The sequence below is a fragment of the Homo sapiens genome, chromosome 1 (assembly GCF_000001405.40).
Source record: "Homo sapiens chromosome 1, GRCh38.p14 Primary Assembly".
Taxonomy (NCBI): domain Eukaryota; kingdom Metazoa; phylum Chordata; class Mammalia; order Primates; family Hominidae; genus Homo; species Homo sapiens.
Genome location: NC_000001.11, coordinates 144,813,533 through 144,841,342, shown reverse-complemented (window position 1 = coordinate 144,841,342; position 27,810 = coordinate 144,813,533). Strand labels below are relative to the sequence as shown.

The following is a 27,810-nucleotide window of genomic DNA, read 5'->3' as shown; positions in this document are numbered from 1 at the left end:
CCTCCCTGGGCCTCAGTTTCTTTATCTGTTTCTTGCTGGTTGGTTGGGTGATGTGGGGGCTCTGTGAAAACAGCTTGTCAATACAAGCCGAAATAGGAATATTTCTCCACAGAGTATGAAGGTCAAATGAGAGAATACATTTAAATTAAATGGAAAATTAAAATGGCAGAAAAGGCAAAGTTGTATTGAAAGTTCCGAGCTTCTCTATAAGGAGCTTTTTGACTATGTAAGAATCCGGTACTCGTTCCCCCTAAATATAAAAAAAAAAGTTGAAGGAGGAAGAAGGGAGAGTGATGCATGATGGGCGAGGACTTCACCTGCTGTTGCTGGCTTTGAGGATGGAGGAAGGAGGCCACAAACCTAGAAGCTGGAGCCCCTAGAAGCTAGAAAAGGCAGGGACCCGATTCATCCCTTGAGCCTCCAGAAGGGACATAGCCCCGCCAGCACCTTGACTTTAGCCCAGTGAGATCCTCTTAGGACTTTTGGCAACCAGAACTATAAGACAGAAATGGAAGCCACTGAGTCTGTAGCTGTTTGTTGCAGCAGCAATAGAAAACTAATGCAGAGCCCAAGAAATCACTGGTGATGAGATGGGGAAGTGGGCTCAGGAGGTCTGGATCTGTGATGAGATGGGGAAAGTGGGCTCAGGAGGTCTGGATCTGTGATGAGATGGGGGAAGTGGGCTCAGGAGGTCTGGATCTGAGTTGGGGATCTGGAGTGGAAGGGGAATTCATTTGTTCATTGTCTATCCTTTTGCATTGATTTTTTTTCTATATATACATACATACATACATACATACATACATATATATATATATATATATGTGAATTTTCACAATAAAAGTTTTTTCCAAAATAAAATAAACAAAAGGGGCTTTTTGCAACCCAATTCCTATCTATGTCTGAGTCCACTTGTATTGAATGAGTCTTTCTGCTAACGTCCTTATATTTGGGTGACAATCTGAATGTCAGTGACCAATCAGAGCAGAGGCAGACCTTGGAGTGGGCAGGGCACCCTGAGGGCCCTGATTCCCGCCATGAGGCATAACCCTTTAGGTGCCAGACCACGGGGAGGTCCAGGGGTTGCAGGGGAGGGCTGTGCATCTGCAATGACTCTCAGGGGGCTCCCGGTGGTGGCAATTGGTGAATCTGCACGGTGGTGTTTCAATATTGTCACAATCCTGCTGTCTCTCATGCTCTTAAAAAGCATTTCTCTTACCTGTGACAGACTTCCTATACCTAACAGCTTGCAAAAATTTTCCAGGTTAATGAGAATAATCTCTCGGAGCCATACCTCCCTGCTTGGGGTCTCAGTTTCCCCAACTGTCTCCAGACAAGTTAGGCTGGAAGGCCCCTGAGCCTCAGCCCCTCTATACCCCTCCTGTCACCCAGACCTGATCTGGGTCTTGCACCCTGGGTGCAGCAAGACAGGGGTGGGCAGGGGCTGGCTCTGGGCCAGAGGACCCTTTCTGATGGACTTCAGCTGTTGGCCTTCCAGGGGAGACTGATCAACCTCACAAGAGTCATACGGTGAGTAGCAGTGGGCAGATCCATCCCCCTCGTCTTAGATTTATGGGGAGACAGAGAGAAAGAGGAGACACTCCAGGAAGACCTGCAGGTGGGAGTACCAGGTTGAAACCAAGGACACATTCCTGGAGGAGCTGCTGTTTGAGCCAGCTCTGAGAACAGGTGGGGACAGGACTGGAGAGGAGGAGGGGGTCCCCTATGAGCAAAGACTGGCCACCACCCCATCTAACACCCCCACAGGGCCCCTGTGGCATCCCTGTCCAGTCCCTGTCACCACCCAGTTTTTCCCTCTGGACCCAGGAATTCAAAGTAAGCAAGGAGGTCCACTGCTCCAGTTGACTGCAAATAATTACAACCTTGAGCCCAAGCAGCACTTTGGGTCCTGGTTTGGGACCATGAAGCGGCTCGGTGAGACTGAGAGGTAAGGCCAGGACAGGAATTGGGATAGTAGGATTGAACTCTCCCTGGGGGCCAGCCTCAGAAAGCCTGTGGCCATGGCCTCTTGGCCAACATCAGATCCTGTGGTCTGGCAATGCCTGGGGTACCCAGACCTCACTCTGGACAGGCCCTGGGAGGGGGCCCTGGTGAGATTCCTGGCAGCCTCACAGCCACTCTTCTGTCCATAGCTACAACATGTCATGCCAGCTGGAGGCTCCATCCCAGTTGGCTGGGAGCACAAAGGCCAGGAAGATAGACATCACCCACCACTGGGGCCAGTCGGGGCCTGAACCAGGGCGGGCAGAGGTTGGCTGCCTTGGGATATGGGTGGGCTCAGGGAGTCAGACAGCAAGGGACTAGCTTCCCATCCTACTGCTGACCAGCTCTGTGACTGGGGAGAGTCACCTTACTTCTCTGGGCCGAGTTTCCCCCTCTGTGGAGTGACACTAAATGCTCTCTCTGGAGACTGGGATCAATAGGGCACTGGTGATTGACCAGGCACTCAGCACATGCCTGGAGCACACAGTGCAGGGCTGTGGTGGGGAGGTGGCCTGAGTTCCTGGGGAGTCACCCATGTGTGCCTGCCCTTCTGACCAGCCACCAGGCCCTCAGGGCAGAGCCTACTACCAGCAGCAGCTCACACCCCGACACCAGCTCAGAGGCAGCCCCTACCTCAGCAGCAGGGACATCACGGACACTTTGAGCTGCTACTAGGGTGGCTTCCCCAGCTCCCACGTGGAGAGGGGTCCCAGCTGAGTCCCACTCACGTGGAGTCTCATGCCCATGAAAGTGCCATTCACCACTGGTCAGGCTCATGAGGCCGCATGAGAGGGGGGGTCACTGGGGAGGAGATATCGGGGTAACAGAGAGGGTGGTTGAATTTTTGTATAATAGGCAGTGCAAGTGTTTACCGTTTGGGAGGGGAAAGGTTTGTTATTATTAGCAATGCTACACTTGAATATTATACTAAAATCCACTTTCTCTATAACCTGGGAGTTGCTCTTTTGTTCTTTCTTTTCCCATCTTAATTAAAATGAGATGCAGACTCTCACGGTCCACAGTCGATTAAGAAATCTTGCACGGCCATCAGGTTATGTCTTGGAGAGCAGAGTTTCAGTACCATCAGCCTGGCAAGGAGCCGGGCCTGCTCCTCAGAGCTCCCGGGACTGTGAGAATTGGCATGTTCACAGGGCACTGTCACAGCCTCTGAAACACGCTGTCTTTAAAGACGTTTGCAGGCTGGACGCGGTGGCTCACTCCTGTAATCCCAGCACTTTGGGAGGCAGAAGCGGGTGGCTCACTTGAGGTCAGGAGTTCGAGACCAACATGGCCAACATGGCAAAACCCCATCTCTACTAAAAATACAAAAAATTAGCCAGGTGTGGTGGCAGGTGCCTGTAATTCCAGCTACTCGGGAGGCTGAGGTAGGAGAACTGCTTGAACCCAGGAGGCGGAGGTTGCAATGAGCAGAGATCACACCACTGCACTCCAGTCTGGGCAACAAGAGCAAAACTTCATCTCAAAAAAAAAAAAAAAAAAGAACACAAAGACATTTGCAAGGACCATGTCCTCACCCAGAATGGTGCCTGCCTTTCTACAGTTTTTCAGGAAGAGGAAACATTTTCTGCTTCTCTCGCTGAGGTTTTTTTTAACCACCCATTAGGAACGTACAGATTTCAGGATCGAACACTGGGATTCCCTCAGCACTAAAGGAGGAAAATTGCAAACAGAGCTGAAAGTGCAATGTGCAAAGGTCAGGCTGAGGAAGGTTCTTAGCCAGTAGACCAAGGGCAGGAAGGACACTGCCTCCTCAGTCTCCCACTTTGTGATTCTTGTCCCCTGACCTCAGAATTCCTTGTCATGTTTTGTCTCCAAGGGAAGGGTTTGAATTACAGAATTTAAGGCTAGAGTGGGCCTCGTGCAGTTAACATTAACCCTCTCTCTCCTTTGCTGGCCGAGGTGAAGTCCAGGAACATGTAGTTCTGATGTCCACTCTCTCGGGGGATCACCAGTTCACCCATCTCACCCGGCAAGCTGGGCCCTAGTTTGGTGACAGGCATCTTCCACCCACCTGGGAGGCAGGGTTCAATACTCTGCCTCTGACCTTGTTTCCTTCTTCTGCCATCTGCTTAGGCAGCCAGAAGGGGTTGTCCAGCCAGCACCTGGGCTTTGGCCCTCCTCAAGAAGGTGGAGGAAGTTTCAGGCACCTGGCTCCTCAGGTGTCTGCCATCCAGGTGCTCTTCAGGCCTGCCCAGAAGAGCTCTCTTGATCCAGCTAGAACTGGCCAGAACTGACTCACTCAGGAATGTGTAGACTTTGACATCAGGGGCTGCTTTAATTTGCACAATTTCCAAATACCTCTTTTTTCTTCTTTTTCTGATGAGTCATCTCCCTAGACTTGCATTTTAAAGAGATAGATAGTTATCAGATTCCAGAGAAGACATGGTAGAACATTTATATGTCAAAGACACAGAGCTGAGACTTTAGTTTTAGATACTATAATTTGCCTAAACCAAAAAGGAAGGTGTAGGTAAAGTTCTAGTCAAGACAGGATGGCCAGGAAAAACACCTTAAACCAAGGGACGGCTTGCTTTGCTGATTTAAGCCAATGGCTTCTTTATCATAAGACTTCCCAGTGATTTAGTCCTCCCTCTCTTCCAGTGCACAGAGACATACCCCTCCTTACAAATAAAAATGTTCTTTATAGATGGAAATTTATTTTACAAAAATGTTTCAAAATAACCAGATGAAAATCATCCTTATGCCAGAAAGACTTGGTTTTTTTTTTTTTCATTACTAGAAATGAAACAGTAAGTATTTGTTGTATTGACATACTTAGGCTTAGAACTATGTTTAACAAGAAAGCCTAATAATAGCACTGTGGTTAGACTGCAGCCTATTTTTCCAAACCATCATTTTATTATTAAGGAAACGAAGGATCAAATACCTTTCATTCATCTGATATGATCCTTTAAAACACATTCCACTAATAAGTCCCATTTGGAACAGCTGAAAATCTTTTAATAAAACTTTTTAAAGATGAGCTCATGGCTTAGTGTAAATTTCACAAGCTTAATTAGGTCAAATGGAAGGAACTCAGATGAGTAGTTGCCCAATCAGAGCCCACTATTTGTAAGTCATCAGACCCCTCCGTGACCTTAAAACTCCACTCTGACCTAATTATTGCAAACCTATATACAACAAAGTGAAAGGATTAATTTTCATTCATCAACCTCTCAATCCCAGATTTTCAAAGAAAAGACCTATGTAAGGAATACTTGCCAAAACCAGACAGGAGAATTAGAGCCTGCATACTTAAGAGTCAAATTTGTTCCACTACAGCCAGGTGGCATACAATTACATCATTTGGTTCTTCATACACTCTAGAACTGACTAGGACAGAGTTTAGCATAGAAAAACTGTAAGAAATAGGTTCTGAAACATAGAAATTGCGAAGTTCAAAAGGCTATGAAAAAAACTAATGCAAATGAGAGACTCCCCTCCCTTTGTTTTAAAGAAATAGACCCATCAGAGAAATGCAAATCAAAACCACAATGAGATACCATCTCACACCAGTTAGAATGGCGATCATTAAAAAGTCAGGAAACAACAGGTGCTGGAGAGGATGTGGAGAAATAGGAACACTTTCGCACTGTTGGTGGGACTGTAAACTAGTTCAACCATTGTGGAAGACAGTGTGGCCATTCCTCAGGGATCTAGAACTAGAGATACCATTTGACCCAGCCATCCCACTACTGAGTATATACCCAAAGGATTATAAATCGTGCTGCTATAAAGACACATGCACACGTATGTTTATTGCAGCACTATTCACAATAGCAAAGACTTGGAACCAACCCAAATGTCCAACAATGATAGACTGGATGAAGAACATGTGGCACATATACACCATGGAATACTAGGCATCCATAAAAAATGATGAGTTCATGTCCTTTGTAGGGACACGGATGAAGCTGGAAACCATCATTCTCAGCAAACTATCGCAAGGACAAAAAGCCAAACACCACATGTTCTCACTCATAGGTGGGAATTGAACAATGAGAACACTTGGACACAGGAAGGGGAACATCACACACCAGGGCCTGTTGTGGGGTGGGGGGAGGGGGGAGGGATAGCATTAGGAGATATGCCTAATATAAATGATGAGTTAATGGGTGCAGCACACCAACATGGCACATGTATACATATGCAACAAACCTGCACACTGTGCATGTGTACCCTAGAATTTAAAGTATAATAAATAAATATAAAAAAATAAAAAAAGAAATAGATGTTCTGTAAAAATATACACAATTTTTACAAATACATTTATAAGTTGTTTTTATCTTAAAAATTGGGGATATTTCATATTTATAACTAATTATTGAACCTTAAGTTTTCTTGGCCATTTCTAGGCTAATAAACTACGAATCATGTAAACTAAGCCAAAGTAGAATAGACATAAAAAGTCCTCAACACTTCAACTTCCTATCCTTCAAGAAGTATACCTCGCAAAGCTCATTTGAGAGAGGAAGAGCTTTCCTCCACCCTCTGTTTTACAGCGCTGAGGCTTCTCATCACATTTCTATGACTTGTAGCTTAAATCCATGTTACATGGTAACTGGCATTGTTAGTGCTTCTCTTTTAACACAGTAGGAATTAATCAATTTTGTGGTGTATTTAATTAATTCTATCACTAGAGGATTGTAAAATTACATATATGAATACCTCACTTTAGAGGCCACTTAATTTTTTTCCAAGGGGATATTTGACTACATTTCACTTGTGTCTTATTTAATGATTTTATAATTTAAACCCTAAATTATAAATCTAGAATTTAGAAAGTATATTTCCCCACTGGATTACATTTTTGGAAATATTATTTTATATGTGCACAAATATTACAAAATCACTGTAGACACCTGAAAACTATATTATCTTTTAAAGGCAATATTTACATTAAACTGGTATAACAAAATTGTTTGGTGCATTTTTTTCCAGTACATTTTGTATATATTACATGTTTAACCTTTTTTATTCAGCAAATAATTTTTGAGTATCTACTAAGTGCTAGGTTCTGCATTACTAACTGAATTTAAAGAGTGAAATAACAGACATGGTCTCAGACAATAAAAATTAACATTAGGTCACCTATTTATATATTTTAAAATGGTAATTATGAAAACTTTTTGAGATTTTTAACTAGATAACATTATAATAATACACTTGATGTTGTTAATATTTGCCAGTGAGCAAAAAAGAAAATAAAAAGATGGTTTTATTCAATATACACTTTAAAATTGCAGAAAATAGTCAAGTTTCTCTGCTTTGCAGTTGAATGTCTATGTGGTTTTCTCCGCAACTTGCCTTTTGTGGAGTGAAACAATTATTCTTCCAGCCCAATAAAGGCAGAAGAGTAACAATAAATCTAATATTTTAAGTGCTTCTCAAAAGATAGTAAACATATTACTTCAGAATACTGAGTTCAATAAGTTGACCTACAAAAAAAGCCAAACTGACAGTATTACTGAATAAGGAAAGGCCCAAAGAGACAAAATAATTTTTATTTTGTAACCTCGGTATGACACAACTTACCCTAACTATAAAGACCCTAAATTACCAAGATGGGTGCTTATAATAAGGAGAGTAAAAAAAGTCATTTGACTTTTAGCTTTTTTATTTCTCTCAGAATAAAAAGTGTAAAAGGAGTTTATAAGGAAGTTGATACTATAAGTTAGTACTACAATGACAGCACTTTTCAAGAAAAGACTTTTTTCTCTCTTACAAATATCATGTTAGCAGTACTTGTTTTCTCCAGAAATAATGAGGAAATAAAAACATAAGTATGTGGGTAATTAGTGTAGTTTCTTAAAGAAATGAGTTAGGCAACAGGCTAATAATGTATACTTAGCTGGCTTTTGAATGCCAACAATCATATTCTTTACAAGGCACAGAGAAGATTTTTCTGAAGAATAAGTATGTGAACCTGAGAAGTAATCACCACTTGGTAGTGACAATATGGATAGGGTGAAGGGTGTCATCAAGAAGCAATGAAAAGATACATTTGCAGTTCAATTTGAAAACCATGATGTTTAATACATATAGTAATAAAGAATACTTTCTCCTATTTCAAAATTATTTTAGAATTTAAGATAGAAGCTAAAATACCTAGGGATAATGATATGACTATCAAAAATTAAAAATTAAAGGACATTCTGAGTATTATAAGAATGAGAACTTATTACCCAATGAACAGGGGTTAATTCATTATGCTCCATATCCATTGAATTAAAAGACAGGCCCATTACCTGGATAATTTGAAAGTTTAATTTTATTTAAAAGTCTTGTTTCATTCATCAAGCTAAAGGATTAGCTCCCAGAAATATTCTAGGATTGCATATCCCCAACTCTGTAGGAAGTATAGAAAGAATGTTATAAGGGCCACCATCTAAACATTATTATGTAAATAATTTAGTACCATTCCATTTGCCCTTGTAGATTTAAAAATGTAAATGGCTTTCTCATATTAGGAAACATCACTTTTCAAAACTCAGATAAACATAGTACATTGCAAGAGAATAATTATTTTCTTTATTAAAAAAGAAATACTGGATGCTAAGTCCAAAAGACATAAATTATTTTATACTAATAACTACTAATATTTTATTCATTAAAATATAAAGGTCAAAGATTTCAAAATGATCTTTAAATGATTAATAACATGTTGATCTTTTTCTTCTTTCTGTAAACCTTTTTGAGTCTTAAAAATACTAAACTATACAAGCAATATTAAATAGTATATAAACTTGGATTAAAATATTCAAATTTACTAGAATGTGGACATTGGAAAGAATGAAAATAAACAGAAGCATAAAGCAGCAGATATAAAATTAAGAAAGCAACTAAGAGTGTTTAAAGTACATATTCATCTGTAGTCTAATGTCTACCATAAACAATGACTCTTCTCAGTAAAACACAAATTGTTCATGAAGGGAAAAAGCATGTTGTATTAGAGAATATTCAACATAATTTTTTTAGTACTAACTTGTGCCTGGAGTATTATTGGTTTTTCTATTATGAACTTATGCACTTGTTAATTTTTTTCATAAAAATTATATGTACAACTCCATTCAAAAGCAGTTTTTGGTGGGTTTTTTTTTTTTTGAGACAGAGTTTTGCTCTTTTCACCCAGGCTGGAGGGCAATGCTGCGAATTTGGCTCACAGCAACCTAGCAACTTTTGCCTCCCAGGTTCAGGTGATTCTCTTGCCTCAGCCTCTCGAGTGGTTAGGACTACAAGCATGCACCACCATGCCTGGCTAATTTTGTGTTTTTAGTAGAGACATGGTTTTGCCATGTTGACCAGGCTGGTCTTGAACTCCTGACCTGAGGTAATCCACCCATCTTGGCCTCCCAAAGTGCTGGGTATGGGCAAGAGCCACCATACCTGGCCTCAGAAGCAGTTTTTAAAAGCAAACACAGTATAACACTAAAGTTGAAAAATCTATGCTCACCCAAGGATGCCAGGTTTAATAAATTATTTATAGAATACTGCATCAAAAATAAGATAATAACCCAAAATATACCATTAAAGATGTATCCACTCCTACAACTAGAGATAATTAATCTATCTAGTAGCAAATGATACTTCAATCAGTTTCAGCATGTCTGAAATCTTTAAGGACAAAAGTGATAAAACATGACTTCATTCTTCATTAGACTCTTAGAACACCTGAAGGAAAATAATTTCTGAAGCACAAAGAAGTAAAGAGGTGTAATCTTTCAAAAAGATATTCAGTGTTCAAAATCCAAGAGTGCAATATCAGGCTGGGTGCGGTGGCTTATGCCCGTAATCCCAGCACTTTGGGAGGCCATGGTGGGTGGATCACCTGAGGTCAGGAGTTCGAGACCAGCCTGGACAACAAGGTGAAACTCTTGACTGTACTAAAAATACAAAAATTAGCCAGGCATCGTGGTATGCACCTGTAGTCCTAGCTACTTGGGAGGCTGAGACAGGAGAATCACTTGAACCTGGGAGGTGGAGGTTGCAGTGAACCGAGATCATGCCACCTCACTCCAGCATCAGTAACAGAATGAGATGCCATCTCAAAAAAAGAAAAGAGTCTAATATCGGTATACACAGATAATATACTGAATGAAACAAATAGAATAATTTGAAGAGGTATCTTGATGAACAAGGAGTCATTAGAAAGGTTGTATTCATGTCTTTGAAGGAAATTGCAATGTGAGAAATTAATACTTTGACTACTATACTAAAAGTTTATTGCTAACATGTATTGAGTTATTAACGTGTGTTAGGCAGAGTACCATATAATTTACAAGTGTTATCTCATTTATTGTAGGTAAAATGTAATTTTGAACTCTGGGAGTATAAATGAATTAGATAGAATAAAATTCTATTTAAATGGCCATCAGTAAATCGGTATCTAGGAACAGGGTGATACGGTGCCCAAGTTTTCTATTCTTACTAAATGTTGTGTTTCATTTTCAATGTTTTCTTGGATATTGCTCTTTTTTGGTGATTTTGATTTTTTTTATTTTAGAAAACTAATAAATTGACTCTTCTTGGTACTGACTCGGGTTTTATAGAAGAAAAAGTAATTAAATTATGTATATTTACCTTTGTCTCATTTTTTCTCTTTTAAATTTACTTTAATTGACATATAATAAATGTACATGTTATGGGGTACAGAGTGATATTTTGATATATTTATGCAATGCGTAAAGATCAAGTCAGAGTCATTATCATATCCATTACCTTAAATCATGTATTATTTCTTTGCAGTGAGAATATTCAAAATCTTTTATTTTAGTTATTTGAAAACACACAATAAATTCCCGTTAACTACAGTCACCCAACAGTGCTGTAGAGAACTAGAACTTCTTCCTTCTCTCCAGCTGTAATTTTGTATGTATTAACCACATTTTTCTTATACTCTTCTTTCTCCTACTCTTTCCAGGATATGGTAACCAAAACTCTACTATCTACTTCTACGAGATTAAACATTTTAGCTTCCATACATAAGTGAGAACACGTAGTTATGTGGTGTTTATGTTTCTATGCCAGGCTTATTTCACCTAACATAATGCCCTCCACTTGCATTCTTGTTGCCACAAATAACAGGATTTTGTTCTTTATTATGACTAAATAGTATTCCATTATATATGTATGTCACATTTCTTTATCCATTCATCTGTTGATGGACACTTTTGTTGATTCCACATCTTGGCTATTGTGAATAGTGCTGTAATAAACATGGGGGTGCAGGTAAGTCTTTGATATACTGATTTTCTTTCCTTTGGATATATACTGAAAACCATATGATTAAATTAATAAACACAATAAAAGCGTTTGGCAAAATTAAATATTCTTACATGACAAAAAACCTCTCAACAATTTAGTATAGAAAATATATGCCTTAAAACAGAAGGACATAAAGGACAAACCTACAACTAAGATCATACTGAGTGTGGAAAAGGTGAAAGATTTTACTGTGAACAAGAAAAAGATTTTACTGGAACAAGAAAAGGATGCCTATTCTCACCAATCATATTTCACATAGTGAAAGTCTTAGCCAGGACAATTAGGTGAGAAAAAGAAATAAAGGACATCTGAATTGGAAAGGAGACAGTCAAATTGTCCCTGTTTAAAGACAATGTGATCTTATACACGGAAAAAAATAAGACTCTACCAAAAGCTTCTTAGGGTGATACATGAAATTAATAAAGTTGCAGGATATAAATCAACATACAAAAATCAGTAGCATTTCTATATATTGATAGTAAACTAGCTGAAACAAGAAATTAAGAAAGCAATTCCTTTTACAATAGCTACAAAAATGTACTTAGAAATAAATTTAACCAAGGAAGTAAAAGATTTCGACAACAAAAATGACAAATATTAATGAAAGAAATTAAAGAAAACACAAAAAAGGAAAGACATCCACGTTTATAGATTGAAATAACTAATATTCTTAAAATGACCCACTATCCTATGTGATTTACAAATTTGGTACAATCACTAGCTTGTATTTTTAAAAGCACCTTTGTTGCATATTCTTAAGATATTCAATGACAATGCCTGGATTTAAGTTTGAGGTATTATTATATCTATTTTATACTGGGCACAATATAATGTTATCAGAGGTAACGGTTTTGATTGGTCCTAGGTCATACAGTAATATATACATTGTGATTTATAGACATGCTATCTTTTAATACTCAGGCATTTAGAAAGTTCATTTAGACAAAGTTATAAAAACTTGCTGTCCTTTCTGCCTATATCACCTAAAAATCCTAATTTAAGAGGTAATAACATTTTTTATTTGATATACAATTTATCAACACAATAAAAATCTAACAATTATCATGTGCAGAGTGTGAAAATCTCATCAGATTAAGGAACACAAAGACATCTTTTTCATATTTCGAATGTAAAACTGTTTTGGAAACTGTTATTTTTAGAAACAGTTAAAAACATTTTTTCATTAGTTTTTCATGTAAAATTGTGACAACCAGCATGAAATAACTGTCATCACAGAAGCATGGTATATTCGATTCCAAAACATATTCTTTGTAAGTTTTAATATATTTATGTATTATTTATACTTAGATTGTAACCCATAATGTACAGATATTATTTTTCCTTCAACTCTTAAGAATATTCTTAAATAATAAAATTAAAATTAATGAATTATAATTTTTGTTGCTTGGGAAAAAGAATAGACACACACGTGACAGTGCATCACTTCACCCCATCATTTCATCTCATCATTTCATCATTTCATCTCATCATTTTATCTCATTTCATCTCATCCCATCTCATCTCATCATTTCATATCATCTCATCATTTCATCAAATCTCATCTCATTTCCATTTCATTTTCATTATTTCATTTCATCATTTCATTTCACTATTTCATTTCATTTCATCTAATTTCATTTAATTCATTATGTCATTTCATATAATCTCATTTCATTTCATCTCATATTTTTGATATCATTTTTCATCTCATTTCATCTCAATTCATCTCATCATTTCATCTCCTCATCTCATCATTTCCTCCTTTCATTACAACATTTCATCTCATTTCTTCTCATCTCATTTCAATTTCATTATTTCATCTCATTTCATTATTTCACCTAATTTCATTATTTCATCTCATCTCATCTCAGTTCATCTGATCTCATTTCATCTCAGCATTTCATCTCATCATTTTTCATCTCATCATTTTTCATCTCATCATTTAATCTCATTTCATTTCATTTGATCTCATCATTTCAGCTCATTTCAAGTCACATCTATTCATTTCATCATTTCATTTCAACATTTCATCATTTCATCGCATCATTTCATCTCATCTTTCACTTTCATTTCAATATCATTTCATCATTTCATTTCATCTCATTTCATTATTTCATTATTTCATTTCATTTCATCTCATCATTTCATCTCATCATTTTTCATCTCATCATTTTTCATCTCATCATTTTTCATCTCATCATCTCATCTCATCATTTCATCTCATTTCTTCTCATCATTTCCATTTCATTATTTCATTTCATCATTTAATTTCATCATCTCATTTAATTTCACCTCATTTCATTATTTCATTTTTTCATTTCATTATGTCATTTCATTTCATCTCATTTCATCTCATTTCATTTCATCTCATCTTTTCATCTCATCATTTCATCTTATCATCTCATCAACTCTTTTCATCTTATCATTTCATCATTTCATCACTTCATTTCATCTTGTATCTTCTCATCTCATTTCAATTTCATTTCATTATTTCATTTCATTATTTCATGTCATCTCATCTCATCATTTCATCTCATCACATCTCATCATTTTATCATTTTATTTCATCATCTCATCATTTCATCTCATCTCATTTCAATTTTATTTATTTATTTCAATTTCATTTCATCTCATCAGTTCATCTCATCATTTCATCTCATCATCTCATCTCATCTCATCATTTCATCTCATCATTCATCTCATTTCATATCATTTTATCTCATCTCATCTCATCATTACATTTCATTTTATGTCATCATTTCATGTCATCATTTCATCACATCTCATCTCATCATTTCATCTCATCATTTCATCATTTCATCTCATTTCAACTCATTGCATCTCATCTCATTTCCATTTCATTATTCCATTTCATCATTTCATTTCATTATGTCATTTCACCTCATCATATTTCATCTCATTTCATCTCATCTCATCATTTCATTTCATCTCATCATTTCATCTCATTTTATCTCATCTCATCTCATCATTTCCATTTCATTTTCATTTCATTATTTCATCATTTCATTATTTCATCTCATTTCATTATTTCATTTCATTATGTCATTTCATTTCATCTCATTACATTTCATCTCATTTCATCTCATCATTTCATCCATCATTTCATTTCATTTCATCATTTCATCTCATGATTTCATCTCATCTCATCATCTCATTTCATCTCATTATTTCATCTCATTTCATCTCATCTCATTTCATCATTTCATTTCATCATTACATCTCATCATTTTATCTCATTTCATCTCATCCCATCTCATCTCATCATTTCATATCATCTCATCATTTCATCTCATCATTTCATCAAATCTCATCTCATTTCCATTTCATTTTCATTATTTCATTTCATCATTTCATTTCACTATTTCATTTCATTTCATCTAATTTCATTTAATTCATTATGTCATTTCATATAATCTCATTTCATTTCATCTCATATTTTTGATATCATTTTTCATCTCATTTCATCTCAATTCATCTCATCATTTCATCTCCTCATCTCATCATTTCCTCCTTTCATTACAACATTTCATCTCATTTCTTCTCATCTCATTTCAATTTCATTATTTCATCTCATTTCATTATTTCACCTAATTTCATTATTTCATCTCATCTCATCTCAGTTCATCTGATCTCATTTCATCTCAGCATTTCATCATCATTTTTCATCTCATCATTTTTCATCTCATCATTTAATCTCATTTCATTTCATTTGATCTCATCATTTCAGCTCATTTCAAGTCACATCTATTCATTTCATCATTTCATTTCAACATTTCATCATTTCATCGCATCATTTCATCTCATCTTTCACTTTCATTTCAATATCATTTCATCATTTCATTTCATCTCATTTCATTATTTCATTATTTCATTTCATTTCATCTCATCATTTCATCTCATCATTTTTCATCTCATCATTTTTCATCTCATCATTTTTCATCTCATCATCTCATCTCATCATTTCATCTCATTTCTTCTCATCATTTCATCTCATCATTTTATCTCATTTCATCTCATCTCATTTCAATTTCATTATTTCATTTCATTTCACTTCATTTCATTTCATCTCATTTCATTTCATCATTTCATTTCATCTCATCTTTTCATCTCATCATTTCATCTTATCATCTCATCAACTCTTTTCATCTTATCATTTCATCATTTCATCTTATCACTTCATTTCATCTCGTATCTTCTCATCTCATTTCAATTTCATTTCATTATTTCATTTCATTATTTCATGTCATCTCATCATTTCATCTCATCACATCTCATCATTTTATCATTTTATTTCATCATCTCATTTCATCTCATGTCATTTCAATTTTATTTATTTATTTCAATTTCATTTCATCTCATCAGTTCATCTCATCATTTCATCTCATCATCTCATCTCATCTCATCATTTCATCTCATCATTCATCTCATTTCATATCATTTTATCTCATCTCATTTCATCTCATTTCATCATTACATTTCATCTCATTTTATGTCATCATTTCATGTCATCATTTCATCACATCTCATCTCATCATTTCATCTCATCATTTCATCATTTCATCTCATTTCAACTCATTGCATCTCATCTCTTTTCCATTTCATTATTCCATTTCATCATTTCATTTCATTATGTCATTTCACCTCATCATATTTCATCTCATTTCATCTCATCTCATCATTTCATTTCATCTCATCATTTCATCTCATTTTATCTCATCTCATCTCATCATTTCTTCTCATCTCATCATTTCCATTTCATTTTCATTTCATTATTTCATCATTTCATTATTTCATCTCATTTCATTATTTCATTTCATTATGTCATTTCATTTCATCTCATTACATTTCATCTCATTTCATCTCATCATTTCATCCATCATTTCATTTCATTTCATCATTTCATCTCATGATTTCATCTCATCTCATCATCTCATTTCATCTCATTATTTCATCTCATTTCATCTCATCTCATTTCATCATTTCATTTCATCATTACATCTCATCATTTCAACTCATCTCATTTCAATTTCATTTCAATTTCATTACATTTCATAATTTCCTTTCATTATTTCATTTCATTTCATCTCATTTCATTATTTCATTTCATTATTTCATTTCATCTCATTTTTCATCTCATCATTTTTCATCTCATTTCATCTCATCATGTCATCTCATCGTTCATCTCATTTCATCTCATTTTATCTCATTATTTCATCTCATCTCATCTCATTTCAATTTCATTATTTCATATCATTTCATTATTTCATTTCATTTCATCTCATCATTTCATCTCGTTTCATCTCATCATTTCATCATCTCATCATTTCATCTCATTTCATCTCATCTCATCTCCTTTCAATTTCTTTTCAACTTTGTCATTTCATCTCATCATTTAATCTCATCATTTCCACTCTCCATTTCATCTCAAAATTTCATCTCATCATCTCATCTCATCTCATCATTTTGTTATTTCATCTCATCATTTCATCTCATCTCAAGTCATCTTATCATTTCATCTAAGTGAAATGACATAATGGAATCATGAAATGAAATGGATAGGATGCCCTCAGTGATGTTAAATTTAAAAATTGTTTCTTTTCATGCATGCATTTTTATATTTATATGTATTTATATTTATATTTACTAATATTTCTTTTTACTTATTTTTATTTATATTTTTACTTATTTCTTTATTCATAGACAAGGTCCTGTTCTGTGGCCTAGGCTGGAATGCAGTGGTGCATTCACAGTTCGCTGCAGCCTCGAGAAAACCTCCCACATTAGCCTCCCAGGTAGCTGGGACCCCAGGTGTGCACCACCACACCTGGTTAATATTTTATTATTTGTAGAGATGGAGTCTTGCTATTCTGCCCAGGCTGGTCTCAAACTCCTGGGCTCAAGCAATCCTCCTGCACTGGCAACCCAAAATGCTGGGATGACAGATATGAGCCACAGTGCCCAACCTATTTATTTATTTATTTAATAAGGACAAGGTCTCACTATGTTGCCCAGGCTGGTCAACTCCTGGACTCAAATGATTCTCCAAACTTGGCCTCTCAAAATGTTGGGATTACAGGTATGAGCCACCATGCCTGGCCTAAAAATAGTATTATATTTTTGTATCATATAATTTTCAATTAGGTAATATGAATATTCTGTACAGGAAATACGCCCTTAATTACATAGGAATAAACGTTTGTTACACTGAGAAAAATCTAATAGAGCTAAAAATAAATATTAATTTGGAAAGGTCATTAGATACTGATACATTCTTACGTTTATACATTCTTTCATATATTCATATATTCTTTTAACAGTATCAATGGTTTGGAGTTATGTGTACAAAACCATGACCTATATGTAATACAACTAATAACAGGCATTTACAATTCAAGGCATATTATATACAAAGCTTTAACTTCTTATCAAAATATTTTGTTTTTTTTCTTTCTGTTTTGGCAGATACTATGAACACTACATTCAACTCACAGACACCATGGAGCCCTTACTAAGCATAAAGTACTGTGAAAGGCCAGGGCTAGGACAGAACTGAGACAGGGCCAGGGATAGGACAGAACAGGGGCAGGGTCATGGCCAGAGAAAAACCAGGGGCAGGGTCACGGCCAGGGACATGAGAGGACCAAGGCCAGGGCCAGAAGCAGGGCAGAACCAGGGCCAGGGCAGGGACATGGCAGGGCCAGGGCCATGGCAGGATCAGGGTCAGCAGAAGGCCAGGGCAGGGCTAGGGTAGTGCAGGGCCAAGGCAGGGCAGGGTCAGTGTAGAGCAAGGAACGGGCCAGGGTATGGCAGGGCAGGGACAGGGAGGTCCAGGGCCAGAGTCAGGTCCAGGACATGGACAGGACAGGGCCAGAAATATGGCAGGACCAGAAAGGGGACAGGGCAAGGGCAAGGCCAGAGAAGGACCATGGAAAAAACACGGCCAGGGAGGGTCCAGGGCAAGGGCAAGGCCAGGGCAGAACCAGAGCCAGAGCAGGCCAAAGGCAGGGCCAGGGCAGGGCAAGGCCAGGGTAGGGCGGGGCCAGTGTAGGGTGAGGGTAGGGCCAGGGTGAGTTCAGGGCCAGGGCAGGACTAAGATAGCACAGGGCCAAGGCAGGGCCAGGGCAGGGCCAAAAGGAGGGGCCAGGGCCAAGCATGGCCAGTGTCAGACCTGGGGATTGTCAGGGCCAGGGTCAGGGTCAAGGCTGGGCCAGGGACAGGGCCAGAGCAAGGGCAGGGCCAGGGAGAAAGCAGAACCAGAGAGGATCCAGAGCAAGGCCAGGGTCAGGGCAGAACCAGGACCAGGATAAGGCAAAGCCAAGGCCAGGGCAGGGCAAGGCCAGGGCAAGGCAAGACCAGGGAAGGGCAAGGCCAGAGTAGAAAAGGCCAGTGTAGGGCCAGGCCAGGGTAGGAGAAGGCCATGGTAGGGCCAAGGCCAAGGCAGGGCAGGGCTAGGGTAGCACAGGGCATGGCCAAAAACAGGGCAGGGCCATAACAGTGGCAGGACTAGCAACAGGGCCAGGGCAAGCGCTGGACCAGAGCATGGTGGGGACAATACAGGGCCAGGACAGACGATGGCAAGGCAGGTCCAGGGCCATTTCATGGACTCGGTAGGCCTGGGGTCAGGCCAGGGCAGGGCAAAGGCAAGACCAGGGAGAAGGCAGGGCCGGGGCCAAGGCAGTGCCAGGGCAGGGCAGGACCAGTGCAGGGCCAATGCAGGGTGAGAGCAAGGCCAGGGCATGGAAAGGCAGGGCAGGACCAAGGAAGGGCCAGGAGAGGGCCACGGCAGGGTCACGGCCAGAACAAGGGTATGGCTGGGGTCAGGAATATGGTAGGACGAGGGCTGGGCCCAGGCTGGGACACGCAGGGCAGAGCATGATCTGTGCAAGGCACGGCCAGAGCCAGGCCATAGAGATGGGAGGGCAACACCAAGGCAGAGTCAGGGTAGATCCAGGGCTGAGCAGAGTCAGGGCAGGTCCAGAGTCGAGGCAGAGCTAGGGCCCAAGCAGGGCCATGGTAGCACCAGGGCAGAGGAGGGCAGGGCAATGCAGGACTGGGCCATGGCAGTGCCTGGTCAACTCCCGGGCAGGGCCAGAAGCAGGACAGGGCCAGGGCCAATGCTCAGGCCAGGGACAGGGCATGACAGGAAGTGCCAGAGCAGGGCTGGACCAACGTTGGGGCAGGGCAAATCAGACCAGGACATCTCCAAGTCCATCTCTGGCCCTGCCTTGGCCCTGGCCCCTTCCTGGCCTGACCTTGTCCCTGGCCCTGCCCTATCCATGCCCTGTGTGTTTGACCAGTGTTTTATAACCAGAATCCTACAAGAAACTTAAATTAGTTCTTTTTGTGCATTTTTAGTAGAGATGGGGTTTCACAATGTTGCCCAGGCTGGTTCCAAACTCCTGAGCTCAAGCCATCTGCCTGCCTTGGCCTCCCAAAGTGCTGGGATTACAGGAGTAATCTGGCCAAGTATTTAACTTCTTTATACCTGTTTCCTATATTTGGAAAATGGGGATGCTTTAAGTACCTAGCACATAGAATTATTGTGAGAATCAATGCCTCACATATTAACATATTGATAAAATTATACTCATAGAACACTACTGGAAGCAAAGATAGTATTAGTTAAAATTTAGTGATTACTGCAAATATTATTACTATTACAAACAATATAGTATAGACATTACTACTACTATAGTTATCTTAAAAATCTAAAATAAAAATTTTATGTAATAGCCCAATGTAATCTCTCCTGCTCTGTCCTGGCTCAGCCCTAGTGCCGGCTCTGCCCCTAGTCCTACTACATCCCTGGCCCTGACCCTTCCCTGGTCCAGCCGCTGCCCTGGCCCTTCCCATCTTCAGGCCTTACCATGGCCCTACCCTGGTCCTGACCCTGCCCTGGTCTGGTCCTGACCCTGGCCCTACCCCAGAGAAGGGGTATGGCAGAGCCAGGGAAGGGCCAGGGCAAATAAGGGACAGGACACATCCAAATCCAGGAAAGGGCCAGGGCCATGACAGAGCCAGGGCGAGTCCTTGGCAGGGCCAGGTTCCAGGCCAGGGCCAGGAAAGGGTCATGGCAGGGTCACTGTATGGCCAAGGTCCAGGCCAAAGCCAAGGCAGTGGCAGGGTCAGGTCTGCATAAGGGCAGGACCAGAGCCAGTGATACGGCAGGGCCAGGGCCAGGGCCAGGGCTGTGCCAGGACAGAACAAGAGCAGAGCAGGGCAGGACCAGAGCCAGGCCATAGAGAGAGTAGGGCAAATGCCAAGGCAAGGCCAGGGTAGTGCCAGGGCTGAGGCAAGATCAGGGAAGGTCCAGGGCTCAGTCAAGGCTAGAACCAAGACAGGGGCAAAGGCCGGGGCAGATCTAGGGCACAAGCAGGGCAGGCTAGGGCAGGGCAATGGCAAGACCAGGCCATGGCAGGGCCAGCCCAGGATAGAACAGGGCACAGGCAGGGCAGGGCCAGGGCCACGGCTGGGGCAGGACAAGGACCAGGACTGGGGTCCAGGCCAGGGCAAGGGTATGGCCAGGGCAGAGGTAGGGCCAGAGCCAGGGTCTGGGCAGGACCAAGGCAGGTCTATTGCAGGGCCAGGGTTCAGACCAGGGCCAGAGCAGGGCTGGGACAGGGCCAGGGCCAGAACCAGGAAAGGGCAATGTCAGGACAAGGGCCGTGGCAGGACCAGCAATGGGGCTGGGGCCAGGACAGGGACAGGGACAGGGTCAGGGCTAGGGCCAGAATAGCATGCCAGGGTAGAGCCAGGCCAAATTAGGGCCAGGACAGGGTCAGGACCAGGGCTGGGCCAGGGTATGGCCTTAAGTAGCGAAGGGTCAGGGCCAGGGTCCATGCCAGTGCCAGTGCTGGTCCAGGGAAGATGCAGGGCCATGGCCAGATCTAGGACAAGGCTGGGGCAGGACCAAGGTCTGGGTCAGGGTCAGCAGAAGGCCAGGACAGAGCCAGGGGAGGGACAGGGCCATGGTAAGACCAGGTTACATCAGGGACAAGACACCTGCAAATCCACTTCAGGGCCAGGGTCAGGGCAGGGCCAGTTCAGGGCCAGGGCCAAGACAGGGCCAGGGTCAGGGCTGCCAGGGTCATTGGCAGGGCCAGGGCCATGGCAGGACCGGGGTCAGGAGCAGGGGTCAATGCCAGGCCTAGGCCACACATAGGACCAGGTCTGTGCTAGGGCCAGTGTGAGGGCCAAGGCAGGGTCAGGGCAGGGCCAAAGGGAGGGCAGGGCCAGGGCAGGGTGGAGCAGGCCCAGGGTAGCACAGGGTTAAGGTAGGGCACGACCAACCAGGGCAGGTCTATGGTTGGGGCCGGGGCAGGGCCAGAGCCAGGGCACAGCCAAGACAGTGGCAGCTCCTGGGCAGGGCCAGGGTTAGGACCATGGACATGTCCAAGGCCAGTGCCAGGGCAACAGCAAGGGCAGGAGCAGGGCCAGGTTCATCTAAGAACCAGGGACAAAGCCAGGCCCAGAGCTGGGCCAGGACAGGTACCTGGCAGGGCTAGGGTCTGAGACAGGGCCACAGCAGGACCAGGGCCACAACCAGGTCTGTGCTATGGCCAGGTCCAACACAGTGCCCAGGTAAGGCTAGGGTGAAGGCCAAGGTAGGGCCAGGGCAGGGTCAAAGCCAGGCTAGGGCCAAGGCAGGGCCAGGGCCGGCAAGGCAGGGCCAGGAAAGCATAGGGCCAGGGCAGGGCAGGGCCAGGGCAGGGCGGGGCCAGGACAGTGCCAAGACCTGGGCAGGGCCAGGGCCAGGGCCATGGCCACGGCCTGGGGAAGACCAGGTTCAGGGCAGGAGCAAAACAATGGCAAGGACAGTGCAGGTTCTTGGCACAGCCAGGGTCCAGGACAGTGTCAGGGCAGGGCCAAGGCAGGGTCTGGGCCATGGTAAGACCAGCAACAGGGCTGGGGCTAGGCCAGTGACAGGACCAGAGTCAGGGCAAGGGCCAGAGCAGTGCAAGGCCAGGGTAGGGCCAGGCATTTCAGGGTCAGGGCCAGGGGAGAACCAGGGCAAGGTCTCAAGCAGGGAAGGGCCAGGGCCAGGACAGGTCCAGGGCAGGGCCATGACAGGGCCAGGGGCTGCGTTAGGGCAAGGGCAGGGCCACAGCAAGGTAAGGGTCAGGGCCAAGGCCAGGGTAGGGACAGGGCAAGAAATATGGCATGACCAGGGGCAATGCCAAGGCCAAGGTTGGGCCAGGGCTGACCCGGGACTGAGTCAGGGCAGGGCAGGGCAGGGCATGGTATGGCCAGTGCAGGACAGGACAAGAGCCGGTCCACAGAGAGAGCAGAGCTGATGCCAAGAAAGAGCCAGGCTAGTGCCGAGGCTGAGGCAGTGTCAGAGCATGTCCAGGGCAGGGCCAGGGCCAGGGCCAGAACCGAGCCAGGGCACAGCCAAGGCAGGGTAGGGAAGGGAAATAGCATGGCCGGGTCAGTACTGGGACAGGACAGAGCAGGGCAAGGAGATGGTAGCGGCAGGGCAGGGACAGGCCAATGCAGAGCCATGTTATGCCGGGGCCAGGACACCTCCAAGTCCACTTCAGGGCCAGGGCTATGGCAGGACAAAGACCACGGCCAGGATCAGGGCCAGGTCTGTGCTAGGGTCAGCTCCAGAGCAGGGTCTAGCGCAGGCTAGGGTGAGGGCCAAGGTAAGGCCAGGGCAGGGTCAAAGGCAGAGTAGGGCCAGGGCAGGGTGATGACACATCCAGAGCGCAGCAGGGCAGGGTGATGGCAAGACCAGGGGCAGACCATTGCCAGCTCAGGGCCAGGGAAAGTCCAGTGCAGAGCCAGGAAAGGGTCTGGGTCTGGGTCAGGGCCAGGAACAAGGCAGAGCAGGGCCAGGGCCATGGCAGAGTCAGGGCAGGTTCTTGACAGGACCAGGTTCCAGGCCAGGGCCAGGGCAGCAGCAGGGGCAGGGCCTGGATAAGGGCAGGGCCAGGGATATGGCAGGACCAGGGCTAGGGCCAGGGCCAGGCCATAGTGAGGGCAGGGCAAAAGCCAAGGGCAGGGTCAGGGCAGGTCCAGGGCAGGTCCAGGGAGTGGCCAGCACCAAGCGGGGCCAAGTCACAACCAGCGCAGGGTAAGGCAGGGCAATGGCACCACTGGGCCATGACAGGGCAAGGTCAGTGCCAGGAGAGGGCAGAACAGGCAGGCCCATGGTGGAGCCAGGGCAGGGATGGGCCAAAGCAGGGCCAGGACATGTCCAAGGCCAGGTCAGGGCCAGAACAGGAGCAGGACCATGACCATTGGCAGGGCCAGTGCCATGACACGACCAGGGTCAGGACAAGAGGCAGGGCCAGAGCCAGGGCCAGAGCCAAGGTCAGGCCAGTGCAGGTTCAGGGCAGGGCCAGTGCCAGGGCAAGACCAGGGCAGGGACAGGGTAGCACAGGGCCAAGACAGGGTCAGGATGGGACCAGAGCAGGACAGGGCCGAGAGTCCAAGTAACAGTAGGGCAGGTACAGGGCAAGGCAGGGCAGTACAGGGCCAGATCCACGGCAGGCGCAGGGCAAAGCCAGGCCCATTGCCAAGGCACCAGCCCTCCCTACAAGGCTCCTACCACCTGGCCACTGCTGCAGCCCGTCCATCGCTCTAAGCCTGACCCCCAACCCTGGCTGCAGCCGCCTGCCCTCCTAGCGCAGCCGCTCTCCTACCACTCTGGCGCACCGCAGTCTCTGTCACTGCCGCCCACCCGCAGCGAGGCGAGCCATGGTGTCGCAGGCTCTAGGTGTCTCCTCCTCCTCCTGGCACAGAGCAGCTGGGCGGGCAAAGCCAGAAAAGCCTAGGGAAAGATGTGAGGGGTGGAAGGGTTAGAGCCTCAACTTGTCATGCCGGCCACTGGGTGGCAGGGGCCAGTTTCAGCAAAGGCACTCACACCCACCCTACAAAGTCCAGCCTCTCCTTTTGGCCCAAGCTGGGCAGGAACTGGGGTCTGGGGTGGGTGCTGGAGACACCACAGCATCCAGCTCCCCACTCCACAGGAACCATTGGGCCCACTGGGGCTGCACTCCTCGGGGAGCAGGAGAAGCAGAAAAATTCAGACCCAGCCAGCCCTCCACACCCAGGTGCCAATTCCTGTTCCGGACACCTCCACGCACAGGGCCCTGTCCCCCGTGGTGTCCCCAGGGGTGCCTGGCAGCCTCTGAGGCACAGACCCACAGTACACAGGCCCAGGAACCACGGTGGGTGTGGGGGCTCTGCCATGCTCAGGATTCCCACGCAAACGCTGTGTGCCCTGCTGCACTCCAGTATGACCAAGAGTGGGTCGCCCTCTGGAGTGTGGAGTCAGGGAGAGGAGAACCACTCCTTCCTTGGATGCCAACTCTGTTGACCGACACCAGCAGTGCAGCCCCTGATAGCACCGAACTCGCCCCCGCTCCATGGCTAGCCCTGCCCTCAATAGCGCCCCCCACCTCCGTCCCCCAATGCCGCCAGTAGCGTATAACTGATAGTGCCCTAACCTGTCCTCCTCCATGGGCATTGCAGCCCCAGAGAGCACCCATAACCCACCCTCCCTGCCGTGGGCAGTGCAGCCCTGTACAGTGCTACCAACCAGTACCCCTAATGCAGGCAATGACACCCTGGATAGCGCCCTCAACCCACCCCACACTGCGAAAGGTGCAGCCCTGGATAGCCCCTGTCCTACCACTCTGGTCGTCCTGCAGTCTCTGTCACCACCACCACCAACCACAGTGAGGCAAGCCAGTGGGCCACAGGCTCTAGGACCCAGCAGCCAGGCATGGAGCAGCTCTCGCTGATGGCCGGCTCCTACCACTCTGACCACGCTGCTGTCTGTCTCCGTGGCCATCTTCTTTCACTACAAAGGAATAAAACTAGGTATCAATAAGAAAAGCAATTTTGGAAACAATACAATCACATGGAAGTTAAACACTACCCTCCTGAATAAATGACTAGTGGGTCAATGAAGATACTAAGACAGAAATTCAAAAATTTCATGAAACAAAGGGTAATGAAAACACAGTATACCAAAACTTGTTATGCAGAAAGCAGTACAAAGGCAGAGATTTACAGCTATAAGTGCCTACCATCCAAACAAAAGAAAACCTTCAAATAAACAATACATCTTAAAGAACTAGTAAAGAACAAACTAAACTGAAAATAAGAAAATAAATAAGATCATAGCACAAACAAAATTGAAATAAAAAACAGACAAGATTAAACGAAAAGTTGGTTTTCTGGAAAGCTAAACAAAATTGACAAACTTTTAACCAGGCTAAGAAAAGAGACAAGATTCAAATAAATAAAATCAACAGATTAAAAAAAGGAGACATTACAACTAATACTTCAGAAATTCAAAGGATCATAACTGGCTACTATATGCCAATAAATTGGAAAGCCTAGTAGAAATTGGCAAATTCCTAGATGCATACAACCTACTTAGGTTAAACAATGAAAACATCCAAGACCAGAACAGATTGGTAACAAGTAATGAGATTGAAGCCATCAGAAAAAGTCTCCCAGTAAAGAAAAGCCCAGGAACTGATGTCTTCACTGCTGATGGCTTCACACCAAACAATTTAAAGACCTAGTACGAATCCTGCTCAAACTATTTTGAAAAACAGGAGGGAATACTTCCAAACTTATTCTATGAGACCATTATTACTGTGATACCAAAATCAGACAAAAGCATCAAAGAAGGAAACTACAGGCCAGGATCTCTAATATTGATGCAAAAATCCTCAACAAAATACCAGTGAATCAAATTCAGTAATACATTAAAAAGATAATTCATCATGATCAAGTGGGATGTATCCCTGGGACCCAAGGGTCACTCAACATACAATGTGATACATCATATCAACCAAATAAACGACAAAAACAGTATCATCACGTCAACTGAAACTGAAAAAGCATTTGATGAAATTCAACATCCCTTCATGCTATAAATCCTCAAAGAAACGGGCACAGAAGAAACATACCGCAACGTAATAAAAACTACAGGAAAGACACCCACAGCTAGAATCATATGGAATGGGGAAAAATGGAAAGCTTTTCCTCTAAGATCTGGAACATAAGGATGCCCCCTGTCACCACTGTTGTTTAACATAGTACCAGAAATCCTAGCTAAAGCCATCAGTGCAGCCCCTGATATGGCCCCCAACCCACCCTGCCCCCTACCACCAGCAGTGTCACCCCCCCAATAGCACACCCAACATACCCAAACTGCCCCGCCTCCCCACACCATGGGCATTACAGCACCCCATAGCGCCCTCAACCCGAAACCGCCACCCCCCCGACAGCCGCACAGTGCAGCCCCGGATAGCACACTTAGCCCACCTCACTGTTGCCAGCAATACAGTCTGGGATAGTGCCCCCAACCGGCTCCCCACCAAAGGCAGTGCAGCCCCGGTTTGGCCCCCAAACCACCCCCCCCCCGCCCGGTGCAGGCAGCACAGCCCCAGATAGCACACCCAACCGGCCACCCAAGACGGGCAGTGACGCCTGAGATAGGGCTCCCAACCCGTCCCAGGCCACCCACAGTGCAGCCTGGATAGTGCACTTACCCCGACGCCTTTCTACGCTCTGGCTGGCTGCAGTGTCCATCGCTGCCACCAACCACAAACAGGGCTGCAAACAGGAAGGATTTTATTCACTGTCCATGCGGCCCTGAGTTGTCCCAAAGCGAGGCAGTGCCCCCAAGGTCTGTGCAGAGCAGAACGCAGCTCCGCCCTCGCGGTGCCACCGGCCCGCCCGCCCGGGTCTCTGCTGAGGAGAACATTGCTCTGCCTTCGCTGTATCTCCGAAGTCTGCAGAGGAGAACTCAGCTCCGCCCTCGCAATGCTCTCCGGGTCTGTGCTGAGGAGACCGCAGCTCCGCCCTCGCAAAGGCACACAGCGCTGGCGCCGGCGTGGCGGAGAGGGGGCCAGTGGCGGAGAGGCGGCCAGCGGCGGCGCGGCGGAGAGACGGACAGCGGCGGAGAGGCGGCCAGCGGCGGCGCGGCGGAGAGACGGACAGCGGCGGCGCGGCGGAGAGGCGGACAGCGGCGGAGAGGCGGCCAGCGGCGGCGCGGCGGAGAGGCGGACGGCGGCGGAGAGGCGGCCAGCGGCGGCGCGGCGGAGAGGCGGACGGCGGCGGAGAGGCGGACGGCGGCGGCGCGGCGGAGAGGCGGACGGCGGCGGAGAGGCGGACGGCGGCGGCGCGGCGGAGAGGCGGACGGCGGCGGAGAGGCGGACGGCGGCGGCGCGGCGGAGAGGCGGACGGCGGCGGAGAGGCGGCCGGCGGCGGAGAGGCGGCCAGCGGCGGCGCGGCGGAGAGGCGGACGGCGGCGGAGAGGCGGCCAGCGGCGGCGCGGCGGAGAGGCGGACGGCGGCGGAGAGGCGGCCAGCGGCGGCGCGGCGGAGAGGCGGACGGCGGCGGAGAGGCGGACAGCGGCGGCGCGGCGGAGAGACGGACGGCGGCGGAGAGGCGGACAGAGGCGGAGAGGCGGACAGCGGCGGCGCGGCGGAGAGGCGGACAGCGGCGGAGAGGCGGACAGCGGCGGCGCGG

At 44.7% G+C, this 27,810-nt stretch overlaps 1 long non-coding RNA gene across 2 annotated transcripts; it reads right to left on the bottom strand.

Moving 5' to 3' along the window:
• Positions 1–37: 37 nt before the first annotated feature.
• On the bottom strand, positions 38–27,169 carry LOC105371217 (uncharacterized). 2 transcript variants are annotated; one of them, XR_002958630.1, is made up of 4 exons: positions 26,829–27,169; positions 24,950–25,120; positions 23,958–24,085; positions 38–61 (listed from the first exon to the last, which is right to left on the bottom strand). It is a non-coding gene; the product is annotated as an uncharacterized LOC105371217 (long non-coding RNA). The 2 variants fall into 2 exon arrangements; XR_922045.3 differs by lacking the exon at positions 38–61 and having other exon boundaries at positions 18,351–24,085.
• Positions 27,170–27,810: the final 641 nt, after the last annotated feature.